At 47.4% G+C, this 21,999-nt stretch overlaps 1 protein-coding gene across 1 annotated transcript in view; it reads right to left on the bottom strand.

Moving 5' to 3' along the window:
• Positions 1-21,999, bottom strand: part of SAMM50 (SAMM50 sorting and assembly machinery component) — a 41,088-nt gene that overhangs the window by 12,151 nt on the left and 6,938 nt on the right. Inside the window, exons 2-12 of the mRNA NM_015380.5 lie at positions 20,983-21,093; positions 19,826-19,927; positions 15,561-15,648; positions 12,037-12,143; positions 11,378-11,508; positions 11,056-11,143; positions 8,196-8,324; positions 7,558-7,629; positions 6,421-6,507; positions 2,918-2,988; positions 379-446 (exon numbers count right to left, since the gene is read on the bottom strand). Coding sequence (NP_056195.3) covers positions 379-446; positions 2,918-2,988; positions 6,421-6,507; positions 7,558-7,629; positions 8,196-8,324; positions 11,056-11,143; positions 11,378-11,508; positions 12,037-12,143; positions 15,561-15,648; positions 19,826-19,927; positions 20,983-21,093 — 1,054 coding nt within the window. The remainder of the gene's footprint in view (positions 1-378; positions 447-2,917; positions 2,989-6,420; positions 6,508-7,557; positions 7,630-8,195; positions 8,325-11,055; positions 11,144-11,377; positions 11,509-12,036; positions 12,144-15,560; positions 15,649-19,825; positions 19,928-20,982; positions 21,094-21,999) is intronic.

Below are 21,999 nucleotides of genomic sequence, written 5' to 3'. Positions count from 1 at the left end.
ATCGCGCCATTGCACTCCAGCCTAGGCAACAGGGCGAGACTCCATCTCAAAAAAAATAATAATATGTAAACAAAGGAAGAGTAGGAAGCACATGTCAAACCTGCAGGGAACAGACAACAACACGTTTACACATGTTCTCTCTGGGTAGGACTGCGGGTCATTTTCACAGAGTTTTTGCTCAGATATATTTTCTCATTTTCCTACAATTCTCTCAATAAATGTTCTACACCTGCTACATGGTAAGTTCTGTGTTAGGTGCTAATTCCACCACCGTGAAAGAGGAATGTCTATTATCGCTGTAAGCTAATAACAGGTACATGGTTTCCAAAGTGAGACGCGAGCCTTCTAGACTTGGCGCCGTGAGGGGAAAGGACAGACCTTCGCTCTGTGGCCCGATGCTGTGCATGCTGAATCCGCGGATGCTTGTGGGTCCCCCAAGGTAAAACCTAGGACAAAACAGCACACAGGTCAGAGGAAAGTCAGGAGGTGAGAAACGACATGACACACGGAACGCGTAGGAAACACATGTCAGACTCACATTCGATACTAGATTATCGACAGCATTTTTACAAGGCAAAACCTTTGAGAAAGACCAAGAGGGTGCACACTACAGGGGAATTTCATAAAAATCTCAACATCTAAGGAGACACTGCAAACTTTGGAGATGCAGGTGAGACACAAGATGCCAAGAAACACACTAGGAGAGAGGGGCAGGGCAAACTGTCTGTCACAAAGGAACTATCAGCTGTCTGTGAGAATTCATGACGCAGTTCCTTTTCATGGCGGGCCTCCTACTGGCTCACAGTGCGATATTAGGGGAAGAAGAGCAGGATACAAATTATTTAATAGTATAATCCCAATATTACAAAAAGGGGGGCTATAATACTAGAAACAGACCAAAAAAGAATTCTTGTTAGGTTTATAATTTTTAAATATGAGCTCCTCTTGTTCCCTAATGAACTGGATTGTCACACTCTCACCAACCATATCTGAATAATATGAAAAGCGTGAATTAAAAATTAATTACATAAAAACCCATCCACTTTCTGAAAAATTGAACAGCATATTAGAACCCGATTTTAGATTATGATAATTACTAAAAAATGAATTTAAATGACAAGAGAAATTCTGTGTAATCTTTCCAGCCAAGAGGCAGCCAAGGACACAACCCCGGCAGGTGCCCTCAGAGCCCTCTGACCTTTGAGGCCGCGGGAGGCTAAGAACACCCTGCAGGTCTGCAACAGCACAAAGGGAACAGGGCGCGGCTTTTTCTGGTTTTCCTACCAAATAAAAGCCTTTATGAATTTTTTCATTTTAATTTGAGTTTTAAAACCTATAAATATGTTTTTACTACTTGGGATTTCTAAGCAAGGCTTTTCTGAATACCCCATTAACATGAATTGCAAAAACAGCAAGCTTCGTTTTTAAAGAAATGATCAATCAGGCCACGTGCGGTAGCTCGCGCCTGTAATCCCAGCATTTTGGGAGGCTGAGGTGGGCGCATCACCTGAGGTCAGGAGTTAGAGACCAGCCTAGCCAACATGGTAAAACCTCGCCTCTACTAAAAATACAAAAATTAGCTGGGCGTGGTGCCGGGTGCCTGTAGTCCCAGCTACTTGGGAGGCTGGGGCAGGAGAATAGCTTGAACCCGGGAGGTAGAGGTTGTAGTAAGTCGAGATCGTGCCACTGCACTCCAGCCTGGGTGACAGAGTAAGACTCTGTCTCAAAAAACATACATAAATAAAATAAAAAAGAAACGATAAATCACACATTTGAATTCAAATGATCCAGGATGCATATAACATAACGAGTGAAATGGTTCTGCCTGCTGCATCCCAGGCTCTGGGGTGCCCACCGTCACTGTTTTGGTGGCTGGCTTCCCAGGCCCTCGGTGCTACACCTGCATGCACGCTGGAAAGGGATCCACTAAACATATTCATGTGCAAAATGTTAACTTATGAACACATATCTCCTTATTTTTAATAATTACATAGATCTGGAATGGTTGTGCTAGAATTTCACCATTTCCCTACTGCGGAACTTACATAAGGCAGTTTCAAATTCTTTGCTATTCATCAGCAATGCTACAATGGACATCCTTCTACACATAAATCTTTACACACTTAGAAAAGTACTTTTGTAAATTAGATTCATGGAGTTTTGTGAAACTGTTAGGATCCAGAGTTTATAAACCTAAAATTGTTCTACTTCCAAACCACCATCCAAAAAAGCTGTACCAGTATATTTTAACTAATGCAGGGTTGAAAAAAAAGTTTTTTTGCCCTAGAGGACAATGATTAGTATTTCGAAGCAACAAGTACAAGTTCATACCCTGCTGGTAGGGGTATAAATTGCTGTAAGCTTCCTAAAAGCAGCACCCAGCAATACTATGAGTTTTACTTTGAGAGAGTAATACCACAGAAAATAAAATAAACAACAAGTTATCTTAAAAGTTATTATTTACAATGTTATTTACAAAAATCACAAATTAGAAACCAATGAAATATCAAAAAATACACGGTAGGCTAAAAAGTTATGGTATATGCAAATAATGAAACATATGCCACTACAATGCTGCTTATAAAGAATTTCTCATGACTTAGTGAGTGCTTTCTCTAATTTCTTTAAGTGTTTCTCCATTTTTGCATTTCTGCAATGAGTATGAACTATATTCCTTCATAATCAAAAGGGAACAATACATTTTAAATATAATAAAGTAACTTCCCCAACAAAAGCAAAAAATATTAAGTGTGAGGTATACCCGATATTTAGAAATTAGCTTAAACATAAATACTAAAGGAATATTTGAAATACTATGCTCTCCTAAATAAACTTCTCTAAAATATCTTATAAAAAACAACTGAAAAGATCCAAAGGAAAATATGTGCAAATTATCCATTCATTGATTAGTACTTACCTATCAGCAATGCTTGACGGCTTATCACCAATGGGTACCAACATTCCGCCCCAGAAAGACGCTGAAAAAACCTGTTCAAATAGAAACAAATGGTTGTTTTCTCCCAGCATTCCTTTCACTCCAGGAACATCAGCAACTAGCAACTGGCCACACACTGAATGCCCGTGGCGTGCAGAGCTCCGCGATGGGGTGCAAGGGCCGCAGGAGAATGCCTGGCTTGTCCCGTTGCAGAGCTACCCTTCGAAGGGCCACGTGGATTCTATTAAAACACGCAATTCCAAAGTCCAAATCAAGACACACCGAAGGCGAGCAGGGCCCGGCTTCCATTCGGACACAGGGCAGGCCCCTGCTCTGCAACGGGAAGTGACGCCCAGCAGCAGGAGCCAAGGCCTCACAGAGGAGGGAGCCAGGCCCCCTGCACCTGCTCAGGCCTCTTTGCCGCGGCCTCAAAATGTGGAAGGATTCAGGGCACACGCATTTTAGGCTGAAAGAAGGTACCGGCTGCAAGGCTCCCCCAATGCAGAGACGCACTCCCAACCCCACTCTCAAGGACAGAGCCTTGTCTCTTACAGGGCAGGAGGCAGTAGCCAGTCTTGGCTCAGTGAGCCCATCTTCATGCCACAAAACCTTCTCAACAATGTCCTCAACCAGGTAGAGGCTCTCCTGCTCCCCTGCACCCCATGTTTTCGGGCGGCTGGCCGAGCCTCACACGTTCTCTGCCTTGCAAATGCCTATGTCCCTCCAAGCTGCTCAGAAATGGCTTTCTCAGAAGCTTCTGTAGGAAGGACAAGCTTCTGTCCCCACAGCAGCTGGCATTTTCTTCTCAGCCAGGTGTCCGGACTCTGCTCAGAAGGCTCCAGGGCTTCCCTCTCATGTAGAGTGGAAGCAAGAGCCCACATCCGGCCTCCAAGGCCCTCCTGCCACTACTGCTCTTGGAATTCATGCTCCCGCCCGAGGTGTCCCGCTGTCCTACCCTTGCTCCCTCACCGTGCTCTGGGCTGTGCTCGGGGGTTGCCTTACTAGCCACCCTCCCTGACCATCCTAACTAGATGGCATCCCCTTCTGGTCACTTTCTACCCCTTAATTCTGCTTTATTTTTCTTCACAACACTTGTCACCGCCTCCTCAATGATATATAAAGATACTAGCTTATAGGTTTCCCTCCTCAAGAATGGAAGTTCCTTGAGAGCAGGAATTGGGCTTTGTTCACTGATATATTCTTAGTGCCTGGACAGTGCCTGGCAGCCAGCATACATGTGTTAGACTGGTGGATGGATGGGTGGGTGGGTGGGTGGGTGAATGGATGGATGGATGGATGGATGGATGTGTGGGTGGGTAGGTGGGTGGGTGGATGGGTGGATGGGTGGATGGATGGACGGACGGATGGATGGATGGATGGGTAAATGGGTGGGTAGATGGATGGGCACTACCACAGGATAAGCACAGGAGCTACGGGCACAGTGGAGGAGCCCCCACTTCCATCTAGGAGGTTGAAGAAGGCTTGCAGGAGACACACCTATACCAAAGTCTTAAAGGCAGGGAGTGGGAGGCCAAGGAAACAACTGAAAAAAAGGGAGTTACAGCCAGCGGCAGACAGAGTGAATACGAGTGCCTGAAAGTCAGGGTGAGCCAATGCCTTCTGGGAAACAAAAAGTATTTCCACAGAGCCGAAGCATGAGACAGGCACAGTGATGAAGGATCAAGGGCTACAGGCACCCTAACAGCACAAGCAGTTTGTGTAGGAAAGTGATATGGTAAGGCTTGTGTTTCAGAAACACTAACACATCTGCAGTGTGGAGAAGGGGAAGGGGAAGGCAGGGAGTGGAAGGGGAGTAAAGACGACTCAAAAAGACTAATATGTCCATAGTGTAGAGGGGGGAAGGGGAAGGCAGGGAGTAGGAGAGGAGCAGAGACGACTCAGAACGCGACATTGGTTCAGTGCGGATGAGCAGTGCTGAGAGGAGGAAGGGCAGCGCCCAGTGGGTGGCAGGTGGCTGAGGGGAGGACTGAGAGCAGCCAGGGAGTTAAGTTCAAGGGCAGCCGGGTGCACTGTGCAGGTCAGTGGATGGGGAGCCCAGGCGTGGGTACAGATTTGTGGGGAAGGCAATGAGCTCTGTTGATATGAGGTGTCTGTAAGGTAGGGGCTGAGACAGCCAGGAGCACTTGAATCTGGGCCCAGGAAGGAGGCAGGAGAACCAGAGTTGCTACACACAGGCAGCAGCTGCAGCCACAGGGCTGTAGGAGACTGTCCCAGAGAGAAGCAGGGTGGGGAGATGGCAACAGAGATCTAGGGGCAAGCCATGCCTATGAGGCAGAAAGGGCCCTGAGAAGAGAAAACTGAGGAGTGGAAGAGCGCAGCAATGATGAGTCAAGAAAACAAGAGAGATAAAGTGAGAACAGGCGAGCAGGCGACAACATCCAGTGCTGCAGAAGGGATCAGGATGGGCTCACGTGCCGGACAACAAGGAGGCCTGTGGTGGCAGGGGCAGAGGAAGGCAGGAACCAAGTTCAAAGTGCAGAGTCAAGGGCTGAATAGGGGCAGTAACAAATTATTTTAAAATGAGCTCTCTAGAAACAGTCGCATGCACCATTTCATTACACTCAATCCTTGCCCCCAGGTTTTAAGGTAGATAAGGACCTAGGCAGCAAAGGCAGGGCAGAGCTGCCCCCAGCCACTGGGTGCTGGGAAGACGTGAGAAATATGCCAGGTGCCCTCCCAGCCTGGGGCTCCTCTGGCGAGACCAGAATCCAGTCACTTTCTCCTCACTCCTGAGTGAATCAGGAGAAACTGACCCAACAGGACTAAAGATTAAAAAAAAAAAAAAATTTCTGAAAGCACCCAGAGCCCTGTAGACCCAGCAAAGTGAAGACTCAGAAGGTCCACGGAACAGCATTTCAAGGGCAGGAGACACCCCTCTGTCCTCCAGCCACCCCTCCTCCAAGGCCCTGAGATGATAAACGGGGAGGGGCTCTCTCATGGTCCTATGTGTAACGATTAGCAGAGGTTACTTTTTTTTTTTTTTTTTTTTTGAGAAGGAGTCTCTCTGTCACCCAGGCTGGAGTGCAGTGGTGTGATCTTGGCTCACTGCAAGCTCTGCCTCCGGAGTTCATGCCATTCTCCTGTCTCAGCCTCCCGAGTAGCTGGGACTTCAGGCGCCCACCACCACGCCCGGCTAATTTTTTTTAGTAGACAGGGTTTCACCGTGTTAGCCAGGATGGTCTCGATCTCCTGACCTTGTGATCCACCCACCTCAGCCTCCCAAAGTGCTGGGATTACAGGCGTGAACCACTGCGCCCGGCCATCAGAGGTTACTTTTAAAAGAAAATATTTATGGCTTCTCCCCAGACTACCTGCAAATCTGGCTAAACTGGAAACATCAAAGGTTAAGCATTACCGCCCAGGCTTCCACTCTGTGCTTTAGATATTCAGGAGCTAAGATTCTGTGGTAAGATCCCCAAAGTAAGGGCTGACAGTGCAGGTGCCAGCATCCGTTAGATACTCACTGAATCAAATATGAGTTGCTTGTTCAACTGAAGTTCAAAATCTTCTTTGATGAAGCTCACATCCCCGCCAGTGTAGCCTGCCAGTTCCTGCAGGGAAGGAGCACTCAGGTCAAAGGGAGCAAACAGACTTATTACAGGGGCTACAGAATCATGTTTTTGCATCAGGATTTAATTTTGCCGTTTTGTATTTTTTTAAAGGCTACAGAAAATTCTGTCTCCTAGAAGCCACATCCTAATTGTTGCGGACAGCAACAGTGGACGGACTGGGATGGAGGATCAGCAGATCCAAGAGGTGCAGAGGCTGCCCTCTGGCTGTGTGCAGGGAGCACTGGCAGCCTGAGTGTCTGAACACAGAGCTCAGCACAGACGGCTTGGCTCGTTGGCTTCATCGGCATTTGGGGAAAAACTCAGCTGACCTTTCACAATGTGGGCTATTTTGTATAAAAACCTGATTTCTAATTGCTCCTCTGACACTGAAGGTCAGGCACCCCCGGGCTTTTGCCCTGCTTGACAACACCTAAGTACCACCGGCCAGAGCGAGGGTAGCTGCTCGGGGAAGCCTCAAGGTTCAGTGCAGCCCCTGCTGCCCTCACTCTCAAGCCACCAAGGTGGGCTCCTCACTGTGCCTGCACCTTGTAGGTACCTTACAGTAAAGAACTATCCCCCTGCCTCCAACAAGAGGGCAACCCAAAGACAGACTAACAGCCCGCCTCCAACACCAGCAGAGAAGCACGCTCCTCTAAGGTGGTGAAGACCTTCCTCCAGCACCTCCTGCTGCCACGATGCACCTGCCCTGCAGCCATTGAGGGGTGACCCCTGCCTTCGGACACTCTCTCCCAGGTAACACCAAGTCACAGCCCTCCTCCTGGCCTATTACAGGCCCTCATCAAGGATGCCACAGCCTTACCCCCACCTTGGGTTCTGTGAAGGCACAAGACTGAACTGCAGGGGGTAGGGAGCAATTTCCGGGCTGGAAGCCCTGAGAGTGGAGCTGGCGACCTTCAAAAGCGATACTGCATGTGCGATTACTCTGTGGGACTGCCCACCCCCAGGCCCACCCAGCCCACCGGGACTTTATCTACTGTCCAAAGTTTGGCTCCCCTCACCCTGCAGGGGTCACAGGTGAAACAACACTACCTGGTTAACTTTCAGCAAAGCACCTCTCCTTGGTAAGATGGAAGAATTCCGAGAATCGATGACCATGGCGTGCTGAAAGAAATTTGAATGGGGATATTTTCACTTTAAGAAGTTCTATTAGATAACCATGAGCACTCACAGCACGTGGGCCACACCACGCTAGCACTCTACAACTATCATGTCATTTCGTGTTCACAGAGCCCTTGGAGGAAGTGAGGGTGACTGTCCCTATCTTACATAGGAGGACACTGAGACGTCCACACTGAGACTTGAGCTTCAACTGAATAAACGATTCCTGCTCACTACGTGGGAGTTGAACACCCACCACCGGGTTCGTTCTCTCAAGGAGCTCGACGCCCTGGCCTCAGTCGGCTCAGCCTGGTTCCTCCTTCTTTTTGAAAGCTGAAATTCCACAGTCAGCTCTGAAGCACACCTCTTCCTGTTACCACTGACATTATTCGGAAAGGACCACGCGAGGCAGGACACCACAAGCCCTCGGGGAGTGGGGGCCGCCACTGTGGACACCCCATCTGGGTGACGCTTCTCAGTCAGCCCTGATATTGGCAAAGACTGTTTTCCCAATGCATAGCATGGTTCCATCAACAAAATTATTTACTCCAACTAAGAGAAACCGTTACCGAAAGAGATGATTTCAGTGAATGTCCGCTTTCTTTTCGAACAGCAAATGACGCCGTCCTTGAGAGGCAGCCCAGTTCTCGCCATACGCCTTCCCACTTGACAGTGTGGCTGGTCTTCCATATGGGAAACTGCAACATGGAGATCAGACATCTTTCCGGACCACACATACTTAGGAACTTGTTGCAAATCATTTTTTGGAATGAAGCATCATGAAACAATGAACTAAATATCTAATTTTTTTTAATGATGAGAGAGAGGGAGAAGGGGAAGAAGAGAAGAAGGGGAAGAGAAAACCAGAGGGAAGAAGGACAAAGGAAGAAAGGGGGAAAGCTGTGAAGGGAATCAAAGGCAGTACTGCTCTAAGTAGCAGGACTGCACCCCAGGTGAGGGACAGGGCTGGTCTGAGGGCTGCAGGCAGCTCTATCATCGACAGGTGCTATCTCTTTCCCACTTCTTTGTAATGGGTAAGACACCTAAGATGATCTGATGGCGCAAACCCCACCTGGTCCACCCGACCCTGTCTGAAGCCAGGCCTGGCAACCCAGCGACTTGCACCGGCCCAGAGAGAAGGTGGCAGAGACGAGAGTTATGTGGGAGGCGAGGGATCCTTCCTGCAGCAGAGGCCTGAGCCGGGTGAATTCTGGGGTCCAAGCAGGTGGCACCTGCTTCCCAGCCTGACGCTCTCTTTCCTGCTGCCAGGACAGCTCATCTTAGATTTCTATCTCAGAGAAATGTTTTCTGAACAGTGAACGATGTTTGGTGGCTTTGAGAAGTGGTAGGACAGTGATTTAACTCTCACAAGGAAGCCACGTCACCCCATACTCCCCAGGGGGTGTCCCATGCTGGGCCCTCTCTAGCCCTCAGGCTTGCAATTGAACTCCAGGCCATGGGGTAAGTGGGTCACCAGCAGGCCCAGAACACTCCATCCCGCCTTCATGGTGAGAGGCACCCACCTCAGCACCCACAGGGCACCATGCCAGGCACTGGGGAGATGGTACAGGAGGGGCAGCCTGCACAGCCACCATCTCTACACTTAGGGCCACCTGGGATTCAGGCACTTTCCCAAATTCCTACGGGAGGTGTAGAGCTTCCTAAATCATTTCTTCATTCCTTAGAAGGCCTGACATGGGCCCCAAGGATACCACTGAGTATGATCTGGTCCGTTCCTCTAGGAGCTCAGCTTCAGGGCTGCCGGCGACAAGGTGTCTGCCCTCCCCTTTCCTCCTCCCCTCTACCTGCACCCACCCGAGGGCCGAGTCTACACTTTGGTGTCTTTCATCTCTGCTATTCCTTGTGAAAAAATAAGGTATTTCTACTCTCCTAAAAATCTGCTCTTTAAAAAGGCTTAGAAAGAAATGAAGCATGACACTGGGGAGAAGGGTGGCTAAGCTCCCGGGAGCCCGACCACTGTGGGTGCACACAGGCACCTGGAGACCTGCTGGAGGACAGCAGGCTGGAGAGAGCAGCATGTGGCCCAGGTTTCCCCTCCACGGCCCCACCAGAGGGCATCCGAGGACGGTTTCAAAGCAGAAAGGTGTCTCAGGGCTGCTCCCTTCCAGACAAGAAAATTTGGAGAAAAGGAAATGAAAGTGCAAATGTGCCTGGATTCTCCTATCTCCATCTTGAACCTGGAGTCTACCTGGCCCAGCTCTGTGTGCTCTGAGTTCTCATGGCCTTGGTCTGCAAGGACCAGAGGCCTGGGGCACTAACGCACCTCAAGCACCTAAACTGCGCCACGCGCCGCATCAGGAGCTTTACCACGCCTCTCATCCAACCCTCACAACGGCCCTGGGAGACCCCGCGCTCCTGTCCTTCATTTCACAGATGAGTCATTTGCCTGAGGTCGCACAGCCCTAAGGGAGACGGGGGAGTCAAGCCCAGGTGGTCGCCTCCAGGGCTTCTGCTGGGTTCTTGGAGGGAGAGCACACTTAAAGCTTCCTGGGCCCCACTCTCTGTGAGTCGGACTTGGCAGCTCAAGGTGGAGCCCGCGAATGTGCATTTCTAACAAGCCCACAGCTGAGGTCGATGCTGCTGGTCTGAAGACCACATGTGGGGAACGACTCTTACATAGTATTCTATCTCAGGGCTCTCCGCAAGAACTAAAGCCCAGAACAAGAGGAGTCAGGAACAGTGGCGAAAGGAAGGAGAAAAAAAAAAAGCAGGTTATCATAAAGCCCCAAAAAGGCCAAATGATACGAATTCCAATGGTGGCATTTAATCACACCCTTCTAGGTGTAAACTTAGGTGTGAACCAAAAATGAAACCTTCCGGACCAGGTGCAGTGGCTCACACCTGTAATCCCAGCACTTTGGGAGGCTGAGACGGGCAGATCACTTGAGGTCGGGAGTTCGAGACCAGCCTGGCCAACATAAGGAAACCGCCATCTCTACTAAAAATAACAAAAATTAGCTGGGCACGGTGACGGAGGCTGAGGCAGGAGAATCACTTGAACCGGGGAGGCGGAGGTTGCAGTGAGCCGAGATCGTGCCATTGTACTCCAGCCTGGGCGACAAGAGCAAACCTCTGTCTCAACAACAACAAAAAAGAAACCTTCCAGTGATCTGACCAACTCTGCTGACTATGAGAAACTGTCAGTCTCCACACATATGGGGAGGGACAACCAATGGTGCCTCGGGTAGTCAGGACCAGGTTAAGGAGCTGCTAACATGGGCATCAGCCACTCTCGGGTCCCTGTAGCCTGTACTCGGCTAGAGAAGAGGCACCTGGCCAGGAGGTACCTGGTGCGGAGGGCAGAGGGCCTGTGCTTTCCACGCTGCCCTCTTGCTGCCTTTGGGAATCAGTGAAAAAGCCACCCTGTTTTCCCCCAAGCCCAGAGGGAAGGACTGAAATGCTACTCACACTGTACTCAGCTGACATTCCTCTGTCCGTCTCCCGCAGTGAGCTCCAAGGGAACTGTCCAGTAACTTTATATAAGTTTACAGAGAAACTAGGAGACAATGGGATAGAGCTTTAAAAGCTGAAACAGTGATTAGAACTTGCACACATTTAAATCAACAGACTTAACACTACGCCCGTAGGGCTCATCTTCAAGAGGAAATCTACAGCATGTGGTCACTGCAGAAGTGGCAGCTGATTCTGTCATGGTTCTTTTCACAAATAAGCCACCTATTTTAACTTTTCTATCAGGCCAGTGTACTCAATGATCTGTTGGGCTTCCTACTTTCTTTCGAAGTTTCCGGGCCGTGGTTTGAAGAAGGACAGGCCATACGAAGTTTCTTTTGTTCCATAGGAAAACTGAAAGGTCACCTTTTCTGCACGACCAAGAAGATTAGGAAGCTTGAGGCCAAGTACCTAGGAGGGGAAAAAAAAAAAATAGCAGTGGTCTACATTGAAGGAATGAGAACTTTGGATTGGATAAAGACTATGCTAGCTAAGGGACTTTCATAAAAACAGAAGGAAGATGCTAACTACAGATCTAGTCTTTCATTTGTAATCACTTTCATTCTTTAAAACATGCCGCTGCTGAGTGCTCACATCCTGCATTCAAACCTGATTAATGCAAGGGACAAGCTAACCTTGCCACCCGTGAGGCTCAAGAATGTTACAGATTTAGAGTTTAAAGGAATTTGAACAAGAGACTATTAATATGAACATTCTCCAAATCATTCCTAATTACTAACGTTAACATTGTTATCAAACAACCCAAAACATATTATCACCAATTCTACGGTGATTAAAGAGAAACCACAAATAACAACAGATTAAGGTAAATGAAATGACCGAATTTTGAAACTATCATCAGCTTTTAGAATGCAGTCATAGTGTAAAAGTTCCCAACTCTAAGTTCCAATATAAGAAAGTAAAAAGCCTGTAGCATACCATACTGCCTTCATTGTTTCCAACCATGGTGTTATAACTGCCCGTTAATCTCCTCAATTCAGTTACTTCAAAGGTAACGTCTAACCCATTTGGAAGTGCGTCATCACCTAAATAAAAAAATATTAAACAATAAGACAGCCAGGATGTTATTTTACTTTGGGTTCCCATTGCTAAAAAAGACAAAAAGCAATCTGAAGGTTCATTCTATTTTACAATCTCCTTTAGAAAATAATATAATCATGAGAAACGTTTAAGAACACTCCCACACAAAATCAAAATATTGCACACCTCTACACCAAAAAATAATGTTTCTAGTTTCTCTGGTAGAATATATCAATAAACAGGGCTGAGCACAGTGACTCAGGCCTGTAATCACAGTGCTTTGGGAGGACAAGGTGGGAGGATCACTTTCAGGCCAAGAGTTCAAGACCAGCCCCAGCAACATAGCTACAAAAATTTTAAAAATTAGCCAGATGTGGTGGCGAGCACCTATAGTCTCAACTATTCGGGAGGCTGAGGTGAGAAGATCACTTGAGCCCAGCAGTTGGAGGCTGCAGTGAGCTATGACTGTGCCACTGCATTCCAGCCCGGACGACAGAGCAAGACCCTGTCTCTAAAAAAAAAACCAAAAACCAAAAAACAAAAACAATCTACCTTTGCTACAAGGAGATAACTATAAGCAGCATTATTCACTTAAGCAAACTTAAGCAAACAATATTTGCTAAAGGAATCTGTTCTCCTATTAGAGAGGTCCTTGAAAATATTTGGGTTCTCAATTCAACCGACATGAAAATGGGGAACTCACATGACAATAGGGGTGTCAGTAACCCTCGAAGATAAGTGTGAGATTGTTTACTGTGTTACTGTGTGTAAGAGGCATGTCTGTCCTCCCCCGCACCAGGTATGATTTGGGTCTGAGCTGGAAGCAGCCACCTCGTGACCCACCATGGCCCTGGGGTGCCTTGTGCAGAGCGGGCTGGGCTCTGTAGGAATGAGTGGCCTCTCACAGGAAGGAAAGGCGACTCCTGCCTTGTACACAGGGGTGCTCAGCCCTGGCTGGACATCTAGACGCATCTGGGCAACTGTCAAAATATGCTGATGCTCAGGCACCGCTCTAGGAACTCAGGTCCAACAGTTCTAGGGTGGAGCCTCAGTACTGTCTTTTCTTTTTTTCTGAGATGGAGCCTCATTCTGTCACCCAGGCTGGAGTGCAGTCGGATGATCTCAGCTCACCACAACCTCCACCTCCCGGGTTCAAGCAATTCTCCTGCCTCAGCCTTCCGAGTAGCTGGGATGACAGGCACCCGCCGCCACACTCTGCCAATATTTTTTGTATTTTTAGTAGAGACGGGGTTTCACCATGTTGACCAGGCTGGTCTCGAACTCCTGACCTCATGATCCAGCCGCCCTGGCTTCCCAAAGTGCTGGGATTACAGGCGTGAGCCACCCCGCCTGGCACCATCTTTTCTTTCTTTTTCTTTTTTTATTTTTTATTTTACTTTATTTTTTATTTAGTGGACTTTATTTCTTAGAGCAGCTTTAGGCGCACAGAAAGATAAAGAATTGAAGCCAGCAACAGTGGGTTGCGGGTAAAAAAAAAAGATAAAGCAGAAAGTACAAAGTTTTTGTACAAACTACAAAAGTACAAAGAGTTTCCATGAACCTCTCCTTACCCCGACACACACTTACTAACACCTCGCATGTGTGGTACATTTGTCACAACTGATAAACCCATACACCAATTATTAACTCAAGTCCAGTGACTTCCCAGCCTCCCCTGCACCTAGGTGTGGCCAAGTGATTAAGTCCTGGCCAATGGGATGAGAGCAGTGCCGTGTACAACACCTAGGACAGGTGCTTAAAGGGAGGGGTAAGCCCTCTCAATCTCCTGTGCTCCTCCAATACTGGAATGAGGACACGGTGCTCAGCCATCAGAGGGACTCAGGGACCCTAGGGATGACAAAGCAACAAGACACCACGGGGGGAAACTACACCAGCCCAGGGTGACTTCAGGGAACGAAGCACCACACCAGCCCAAGGTGACCTCAGGAAACCACACTAGCCCAAGGTGACTTCAGAGAACAAGGCACCACACTAGCCCAAGGTGACCCCAGGGAACCACAGGAAACCACGCCAGCCCAAGGTGACCTCAGGGAACGCAGCACCACACCAGCCCTTGGCAGTCTCCCAGCTGTGTGGAGAGATGGAGACTTCTCTCTTGTCTAAGCCACTGTTCTTTTAGGTCTGTTAGTGTTGGCTGAAACTATACTCCAAATAATGAAAATGTCCTTAGTTTATCTAGCACCTTATTTTTTGCAAGCATTTTCCTATATTGTCTTATCTAGGCCTTCTCAAAATTACCCCCCATTCAATTCTGAAGAGTTACTCATTCACAGATTCATTCCAAATTTTATTTTTCAATGGTGTCTGCTGAATTCTGACTAAAGTGGGAACTCTACCGCGCCATGTTAGGCCCACCACGGTCTGGGCTCCTGACGGCTTTTCTTCCTTGTCTTCCAGCACTCCATTCCCCCAACCTGCACTCCAGCTCTTCCTACACTTGCGGTCCACCCAGCGAGCCACTCTCCCCTGGCGTGGGCCTGATAAGTGCTATCTCTGTCCCCAGAACATTCTTCACCCCACCTCACTACCAGCCCTTCTCCCCATACTCGCTCAGATGCATCTTCTAGGTCTCAGCTCAGACATCGCCCCTTCAGGGACACCCTCTCTGATCCCCTTCTCATGCCCTGGCCAGGTGAACTGTCTCCTCCCTCAGCCTCTTACAGCACAACATAGCGACTGTGCTGCCATCACTTACTGGTCTGCCCCCAACCCAGCCCCACTGACCGAAGCCCCTTCAGGAGGAGACCACGCCCTGTGTGCTGCTATGACCGAAGCCCATCAGGAGGAGACCACGCCCTGTGTCTCCCTCTGGGGCCTGCACAGGGCTGGCCTCGAAGCAGGTGCTCACTAGCCAAAGAATAAATGTTCAGAGACGTGCCCAGTATCACACAGCAACAAGAAAATGGGCAAAAACTAAAATGGAAATTGGATTCCCTCCTCTTTTTAAAGCATACACTGAGATGGGGGTCTGCACAGTGCTGGGCTGGGCTATGTGAACGAAGCCTGGCCCCCTCCTTCAGAGTCACTCTCAGGCCCCCGTGGAGTCCAGGGCTTCACACAACAGTATCTTCAAAGTTCACCACTCCTCCCCGGCCTCATACAAAAATCCAGGCCCGCAACTGTAAGCCCAGCTACTCAGGAGGCTGAGGCAGGTAGATCGCTTGAGCACAGGAGTTCCAGACCAGCCTGGGCAATACAGCAAGACCCCTCTCCAAAAACAAACAAAAAATCCAATCCCTTCCCTGAGACTGCTAACTCAAGGACTACCTGTTTGATCAACTTTCAGGTTCTACACAGCAGGGAGCAGTGCTCTGCTGCCCAGATCTGCATCTGGCCATAAAAACAGCTTTTCTCTGATGGACAGAAAGGGAATTATAAAGATACTACACCACAATATGTACCTTGACATGTGTCAATCAAAACATCCACTTGTCTAAAAATTCCAAGACGGAGCAATTTTTCACGGGCTTCATGAGATTTCCGCATTACCTATAAAATGGGGGAAGAAAAACAAGGAATATATTCTTCTACGATACAGAAACAGCAAATGGCAGCCACACGGCGAGGCTGGTAGTTTACCATTCGGTGCTAAGTCAGATCACTGAGCAGAGAGCACTACCAAGACCAGCCACATGACAGAAGGGAAAAGCACCACAGGGGCAACAAAAATGCCCATTCACAAGTGCAAAACCAAGCCTTGGCATCAAGAGTGTGCAACATATAATCCCCTTCGTATAAACAACAAGACTAACGCAGATACACAAACCTAACACACAGTCTAGAACGTTGTGCTGGAAGAGATCACAATCGTGAACAGTGGTTATGTCTGGCAAAAGAAAGACACGTGTGTCTGCACACCTTTTCATTTTTTTTTTCAGCTCTCCCTTTGAGGAAGAAATGCACATCTTCTTGTGGTGTTTCAATTTTCTATTCATTTCTTTACTTTCTTTTTTTTTCTTTTTTTCTTTTTTCTTTTTTTTTTTTTTTTTTTTTGAGACAGAGTTTCGCTCTGCTGCCCAGGCTGGAGTGCAACGGTGCAATCTCAGCTCACTGCAACCTCTGCCTCCCAGGTTCAAGCCATTCTCCTGCCTCGGCCTTCTGAGTAGCTGGGATTGCAGGCACAGACCACCACGCCAAGCGAATTTTTTTTTTGTATGTTTAGCAGACATAGGATTTCACCATGTTGGCCAGGCTGGTCTCGAACTCCTGACCTCAGGTGATCCACCTGCCTCAGCCTCCCAAAGTGCTGGGACTACAGGCATGAGCCACCACGCCCGGCCTTTCTAACCATCTCTAACCACTGTTAGAAATGTTCAACTTTGTGTCCTTTCTTTGTTGTCAACAGCAGTTCCTTCTGATGCACGGAGTCCATTCTTATTGGAAGGACAGGTAGAAGGAAGGTAAGGCAGCAAGTGCTGAGGACACAGAGAAGGAAAGGCCCTCGTGTGATAAGGAAAGTTGAGATTCCACCCTGCAGGTGAAAGGGAGTCACTGTAGAACTGTCAGCAGGAGACAGAAAGGATCACATTTCCTTGTGAGAAAGAACGGATCACACAGACGAATGCGGTATTCTGCCCAGATGGGAGAAGCCTGCAGGTGAAGGATGCAGGGGGTGCTCTGGCAACAGCCTCAGGGGCTAGGGTGAAGGCAGGCCCAGTGCAGGCCATGGTATTGGAGGGGAGGACAGACCCTGGAGACATTTCACAGGCAGGGGTCAGAGGACACTGCCACTGCCTAGGTAGAGTGCATGAGAAGAAGAAAGAGGCTAAGAAAGAAGCTACTGAAACTGCAGCTCGGCGCTTAGCACTGGGCTAGCGCTGAACACCATTAGAGAAGTCAGGAATAGAGATGGGAAGACAGGCAGAGCAGACAGATGGAAAAGGGATGACTTCAGGTCTCAGCCCCATGGAGCTGGAGACGGCTGTGGCAATGCCATGAGGAAACGATGAGTCGGCAGTTGCATAGTCAGGGCTACAGCTCAACACAGAGGAGCTGGCTAGAAAGACAGCATGGGGAGCCCTCCGCATTCAGGCTGTAACTGAAACCTGGGATGTGGATGAGATGACCCAGGAGACTGATCCTTGTGGAAAAGCAACACTTAAGGATGCTCACAGGGAAAAGGAGCTGACAACAGAGCCTGAGAATGACTGTGATGAGACAGAAAAAGCAACCCAGGAAAATGGTCACCAAAGCCCAGGGAAGAGGCAAGCGCAAGAAGAGGGACAGACACATTCAAAGGCAAATAACAAAGCAGGACAGGTGCATTCAGCTGAGGCTACAAAGCGATCATTTCTTCAATATGCAAAGAGCTATTGCAAATCAACAAAAGCCAAATGACCCAATGGAAGACAGAAGACACCAAGTTAATTCACAAGAGAGATATGAATGAACACTAAACAGAAAAAAAAAAATGCTGGATCTCATTCATAATTAAATAAATACAATTTAAAACAATGAGATGGCATTTTTCTTCTAACAAGATGGCAAGAATTTAAAAATTGTGATAAAACCCAATTTTGGGAAAGAGACCGTCTCATGGACTGCTGTAAGAGAGTGGACTTGTGGGCCGGGTGCAGTGGCTCACACCTGTAATCCCAGCACTCTGGCAGGCCGAGGCAGGTGGATTACCTGAGGTCAGGAGTTCAAATCGAGCCTGGCCATGGTGAAACCCCATCTCTACTAACAATACAAAAAATTAGCTGGGTGTGGTGGTGTGCACCTGTAATCCCAGCTACTCAGGAGGCTGAAGCAGGAGAATCACTTGAACCCAGGAGGCGGAGGTTGCAGTGAGCCAAGATCGCGCCATTGCACTCCAGCCTGGGCAACAAGAGCGAAACTCCGTCTCAAAAAAAAAAAAGACAGTGGACTTGTGCAATCTCTTTGCAGAGCAATACGGCTGCATCAGTGAACACTGCAGAGTGCGCACACTTTGACCCAGGAATCCCACTTCCAGGAATTTATCCTAAAACACAGTCAATGTACACAAAGACACACTAAGATGTTTAGTACAGCATTGTTTGTAAGAGTGAAAATTAATTTAAATGCCCATCAATGGAGAACTGTTTATAATAAAATGTAGAGGGCCAGGTGAGGTGGCTCATGCTGTAATCCCAGCACTTTGGAAGGCCAAGTTGGGAGGACCCCTTGTGCCAGGAGTTCCAGATCAGCCTGGACAACATGGCAAAACCCCGTCTCTACAGAAAAACTTTAAAAATTAGCTAGGCATGGTGATGTGTGCCTGCAGTCCTGGCTACTCAGGAGGCTGAGGTGGGAGGATTGCTTGAACCCAAGAGGTTTAGGCTGCAGTGAGCTGTGTTCACGCCACTGGACTCCAGCCTGAGCAGGACTTGCACCAGAGCAAGACCCTATCTCAGAAAAAAAAATTTAAAAAAGTTAGAAAGTGTGTACAACGAGGTACCACACAGCCAACAGACTGGTATGTACTGATGTGAAAAGATCTCCATAATTTATGTCAGAAAAGAAAAAAAAATGTAGAGAATGGCATTACTGTTTAAGGAACATACATGTTTATACACTCGTACAACATATCTAGGAAACTGTCAGCCACGTTACCTCTGGAGAGCAGACTGGGATTGGCCGGGGTAGGGAAAATTGTCCTTTTCATTTCAATACCCTTCTGTACCATTTGATTTTCTATGCTTCCTTCTTACTGTGCTTACATGTTACTTTAATTTTTTAAAAATACAAATTTGGGCAGGCACGGTGGCTCATGGCTGTAATCTCAGCATTTTGGCAGGCCGAGGCAGGTGGATCACTTGAGGCCAAGAGTTGAAGACCAGCCTGGCCAACATGACAAAGCCCCATCTCTACTAAAAATACAACAAAATTAGCCAGGTGTGGTGGTGCACATCTGTAATCCCAGCTACTTGGGAGGCTGAGGTGTGAGAATCCTTTGAACTTGGGAGGCAGAGGTTGCAGTGAGCTGAGATTGTGTCACTGCACTCCAGCCTGGGCAACAGAGCAAGACCCTATCTAAAAAAAATTGAAAAAAGATTCTTTTTTTTTTTTTTTTTTAAGTGGGAATGGTCCACAGTGCCAAACACTGCTGCTGCTGCAAGGTCAAGTGAAATGAAGACAAAGGAGCCAGCTGGACCCGGCCACAAAGAAGTTGCTGGTGACCTCTGTCTGGGCATGTTCAATATGGTCCCACGGGCAGAAAGGCAGAGGAAACCACCCACAGTGGAGATGAGAAACGGGGTGCAGTGCAGGAAGGAGACTGCTCCACAGACAGAGCCAGGGCCCTGAGGAGACAGGGAGTGTGTCCCAGATAAGCGCCCACCCCACGGGGTTGGCAAGGGAGAGTACACTCTCAGGAACTCAGCGCGGTGCCTGGGAACGGCTGTGCACTAACCCCACTGGCTCGCATTACGGCGCTGGGAGAGTTATGAGGAACGCAAGAGGACAGACACTTCTTTCTCCAGGATAAGAGACAGGAGGAAAAGGCAAATGCGAATACATGGAGTTTGTAGGAGGCACCACAGGAATTCGGGGGGTTCAGCTTGGGGGTGCCAAGGCTCCCTGTGGGGTAGGAGGCAGATCTCCGGCACAGAGGCCGGGCGCAGGGTGCTCTGTGGTTTCACATGGGGACATTTACGAGTTCTTCAGAAGAGACTGGGAAAGCACACCATGTAGAGACCACACCTACCTCAATTAGGTTTTTGGCCTTGAAAACATCTCCAATTTCACAAATGATGATATCATCTTTAGTCCTTCCAAGTCCATCAAAATGAACATGTTGAACAACCACCTAAAAGTCACACAGGGACAGTATTAGGGATGACATGAGGCAAACAGATTAGGTGTCAAGACTAAAGACAATGTCAAGGTTTAATTAATGTCAAGGTTTTCTTCAAGTTTAATAATCCACACTTCTTACCTCTGGACTTTACTATCTTTCACATTTTTTCAAAAAACCAGTCACTGTGACTTCCCCTTTGCTCGTTATGTACTTTCTGTGAACAAGAGCTACAAATCCTCTCCAGCCAGATGACCCAGGACCAGGTGAGCCCTAAACCCGAGCAGGCCACAGACAACCCCTCTGTCCTTCCTAACATGCATGCTGAGCACTGGCCTGTGAATGAATGCTGGCCATGACCCCTGACTTAATAACTATGTGCAGAAAAATTAGCCAGGTGTGGTGGTGCACGCCTATAGTCCCAGTTACTTTGGAGGCTGAGGCAGGAGAAACACTTGAACCCAAGAGACAGAGGTTGCAATGAGCCAAGATTGTGCCGCTGCACTCCAGCCTGGGTGACAGAGTGAGACTTCATCTCAAAAAAAATTTTAAAAATAAAAAAAACAAAACAAAACTGTATGCATCCTCTAAAGACCCCGCAGGGATTTCAGGTGGCACAATAAATGCTGACTCAAACTGGCCCTCACCTCTCAGTCTCGCTAGAGAGTAAACTCTTCAAGAACTGGAAAAGCATATTCAAATTTCAAAGGTAATAAATTTAGGAAAAGTTTCATTTGAGACCCACAGTCTTTTTTCTGGGAGTAGGGAATGGAAATATAAATTTAAGTATAGTTTGAGTTTGTCCTTGATATATTTTTGGTTTTTGTCATAAATACAAAAGTGTGTTTGTCTAAACCTCCCACATAAAAATCACCAAGGAAGAGCGACTTCTTTAAAAATAGAAACTGTTTTTCTAAGAGTCATCAGTTTTTCTAGTTGTAGGTGGTTACAAACTCTTCTTTGATAAAGGCACGGAAACAGGTTAATTCCTTTACATCTCCCTAGTGGTGTATGGAAGTGAATGTTTCCACTAACAATTCTATCAAGACCTTCAACAGAAAACTCACATCTTTGTTTTCAAGAATTTCCTGTTTAGCTTCAGGCTCAACTTCAACAAATTCAGCTTCTTCTCCTAATCCTCCAAAATCAGGTCCACTTGATGGAAGAGGCTCCAAACTCTGAAAGGGAGGGAGCGACCACAGATAAATGACTTTGTCACATATATACACACACTTACCTTTGAGTTTTGTCTTTAGATGGTGCTGCAGAAAATTCAGTAGTTGTTCCCTTCAAGTAGAGGTAGGGGCAGGAATAGGGACCAGGGAGTAAAAAGGTGCCGTCAGCTATTGCTAATGAGCAAGTTCTTGGCTTGGTGGTTAACTCACTGGTGGTCACTAAATAAAATATAAAAACTAATTAACAGGGAAGGGCAGGGGGAGTGTGGTGGCTCATGCCTGTAATCCCAGCACTCTGGGAGGCCAAGGAGAAAGGATCACTTGAGGCTAGCAGCTTGAGACTAGCCTGCACAACACGGCAAGACCCCATCTCTAAAAAAAAAAAAAAAAAAAAAAAAAAAAAAAAATTAACCAAAAGGGTCACGCACAAATCCATGATGACATGTCATGGATGAAGGATTATGACCAACCTAATTCTGGACATCTGAGGCCCGATGGAAATTAAAAAATCATTTAAAAATAAAATGCCACAAAGGCATTTATCAGGGGAAAAAAGGAAAATAATTTGCTCTCCTGTTGTTACAGAAAGCATCCTAATTTTTAGAATTAAAATTGTACACATGTTAGGATAGCTACCTTGACAAACCAGATTACTAAGAAAACATTTTATGTAGACCCTGACAGGTTTTTTCATTTCAGAAAGTCTCATTCACATTAAAGGGAACTGCATATGCTCACAAAATGGACTCGAAAGCATCTCTTTCTATAATCTGAATTGATATTACCTCAAAATATTAAAGCAACTTCTGAATGAGCATTCTGTAGGCTGTGTCTCATCTAATATTTCCAGGAAGACATTGTATCTATCTATTTATCTATCTCTCTATATATATCTACATATAGTTAAGA

This window comes from Homo sapiens, chromosome 22 (genome assembly GCF_000001405.40).
Source record: "Homo sapiens chromosome 22, GRCh38.p14 Primary Assembly".
NCBI lineage: Eukaryota > Metazoa > Chordata > Mammalia > Primates > Hominidae > Homo > Homo sapiens.
Note: the sequence above shows the minus strand (reverse complement) of the source record. Positions and strands in the feature narration are given on the sequence as shown.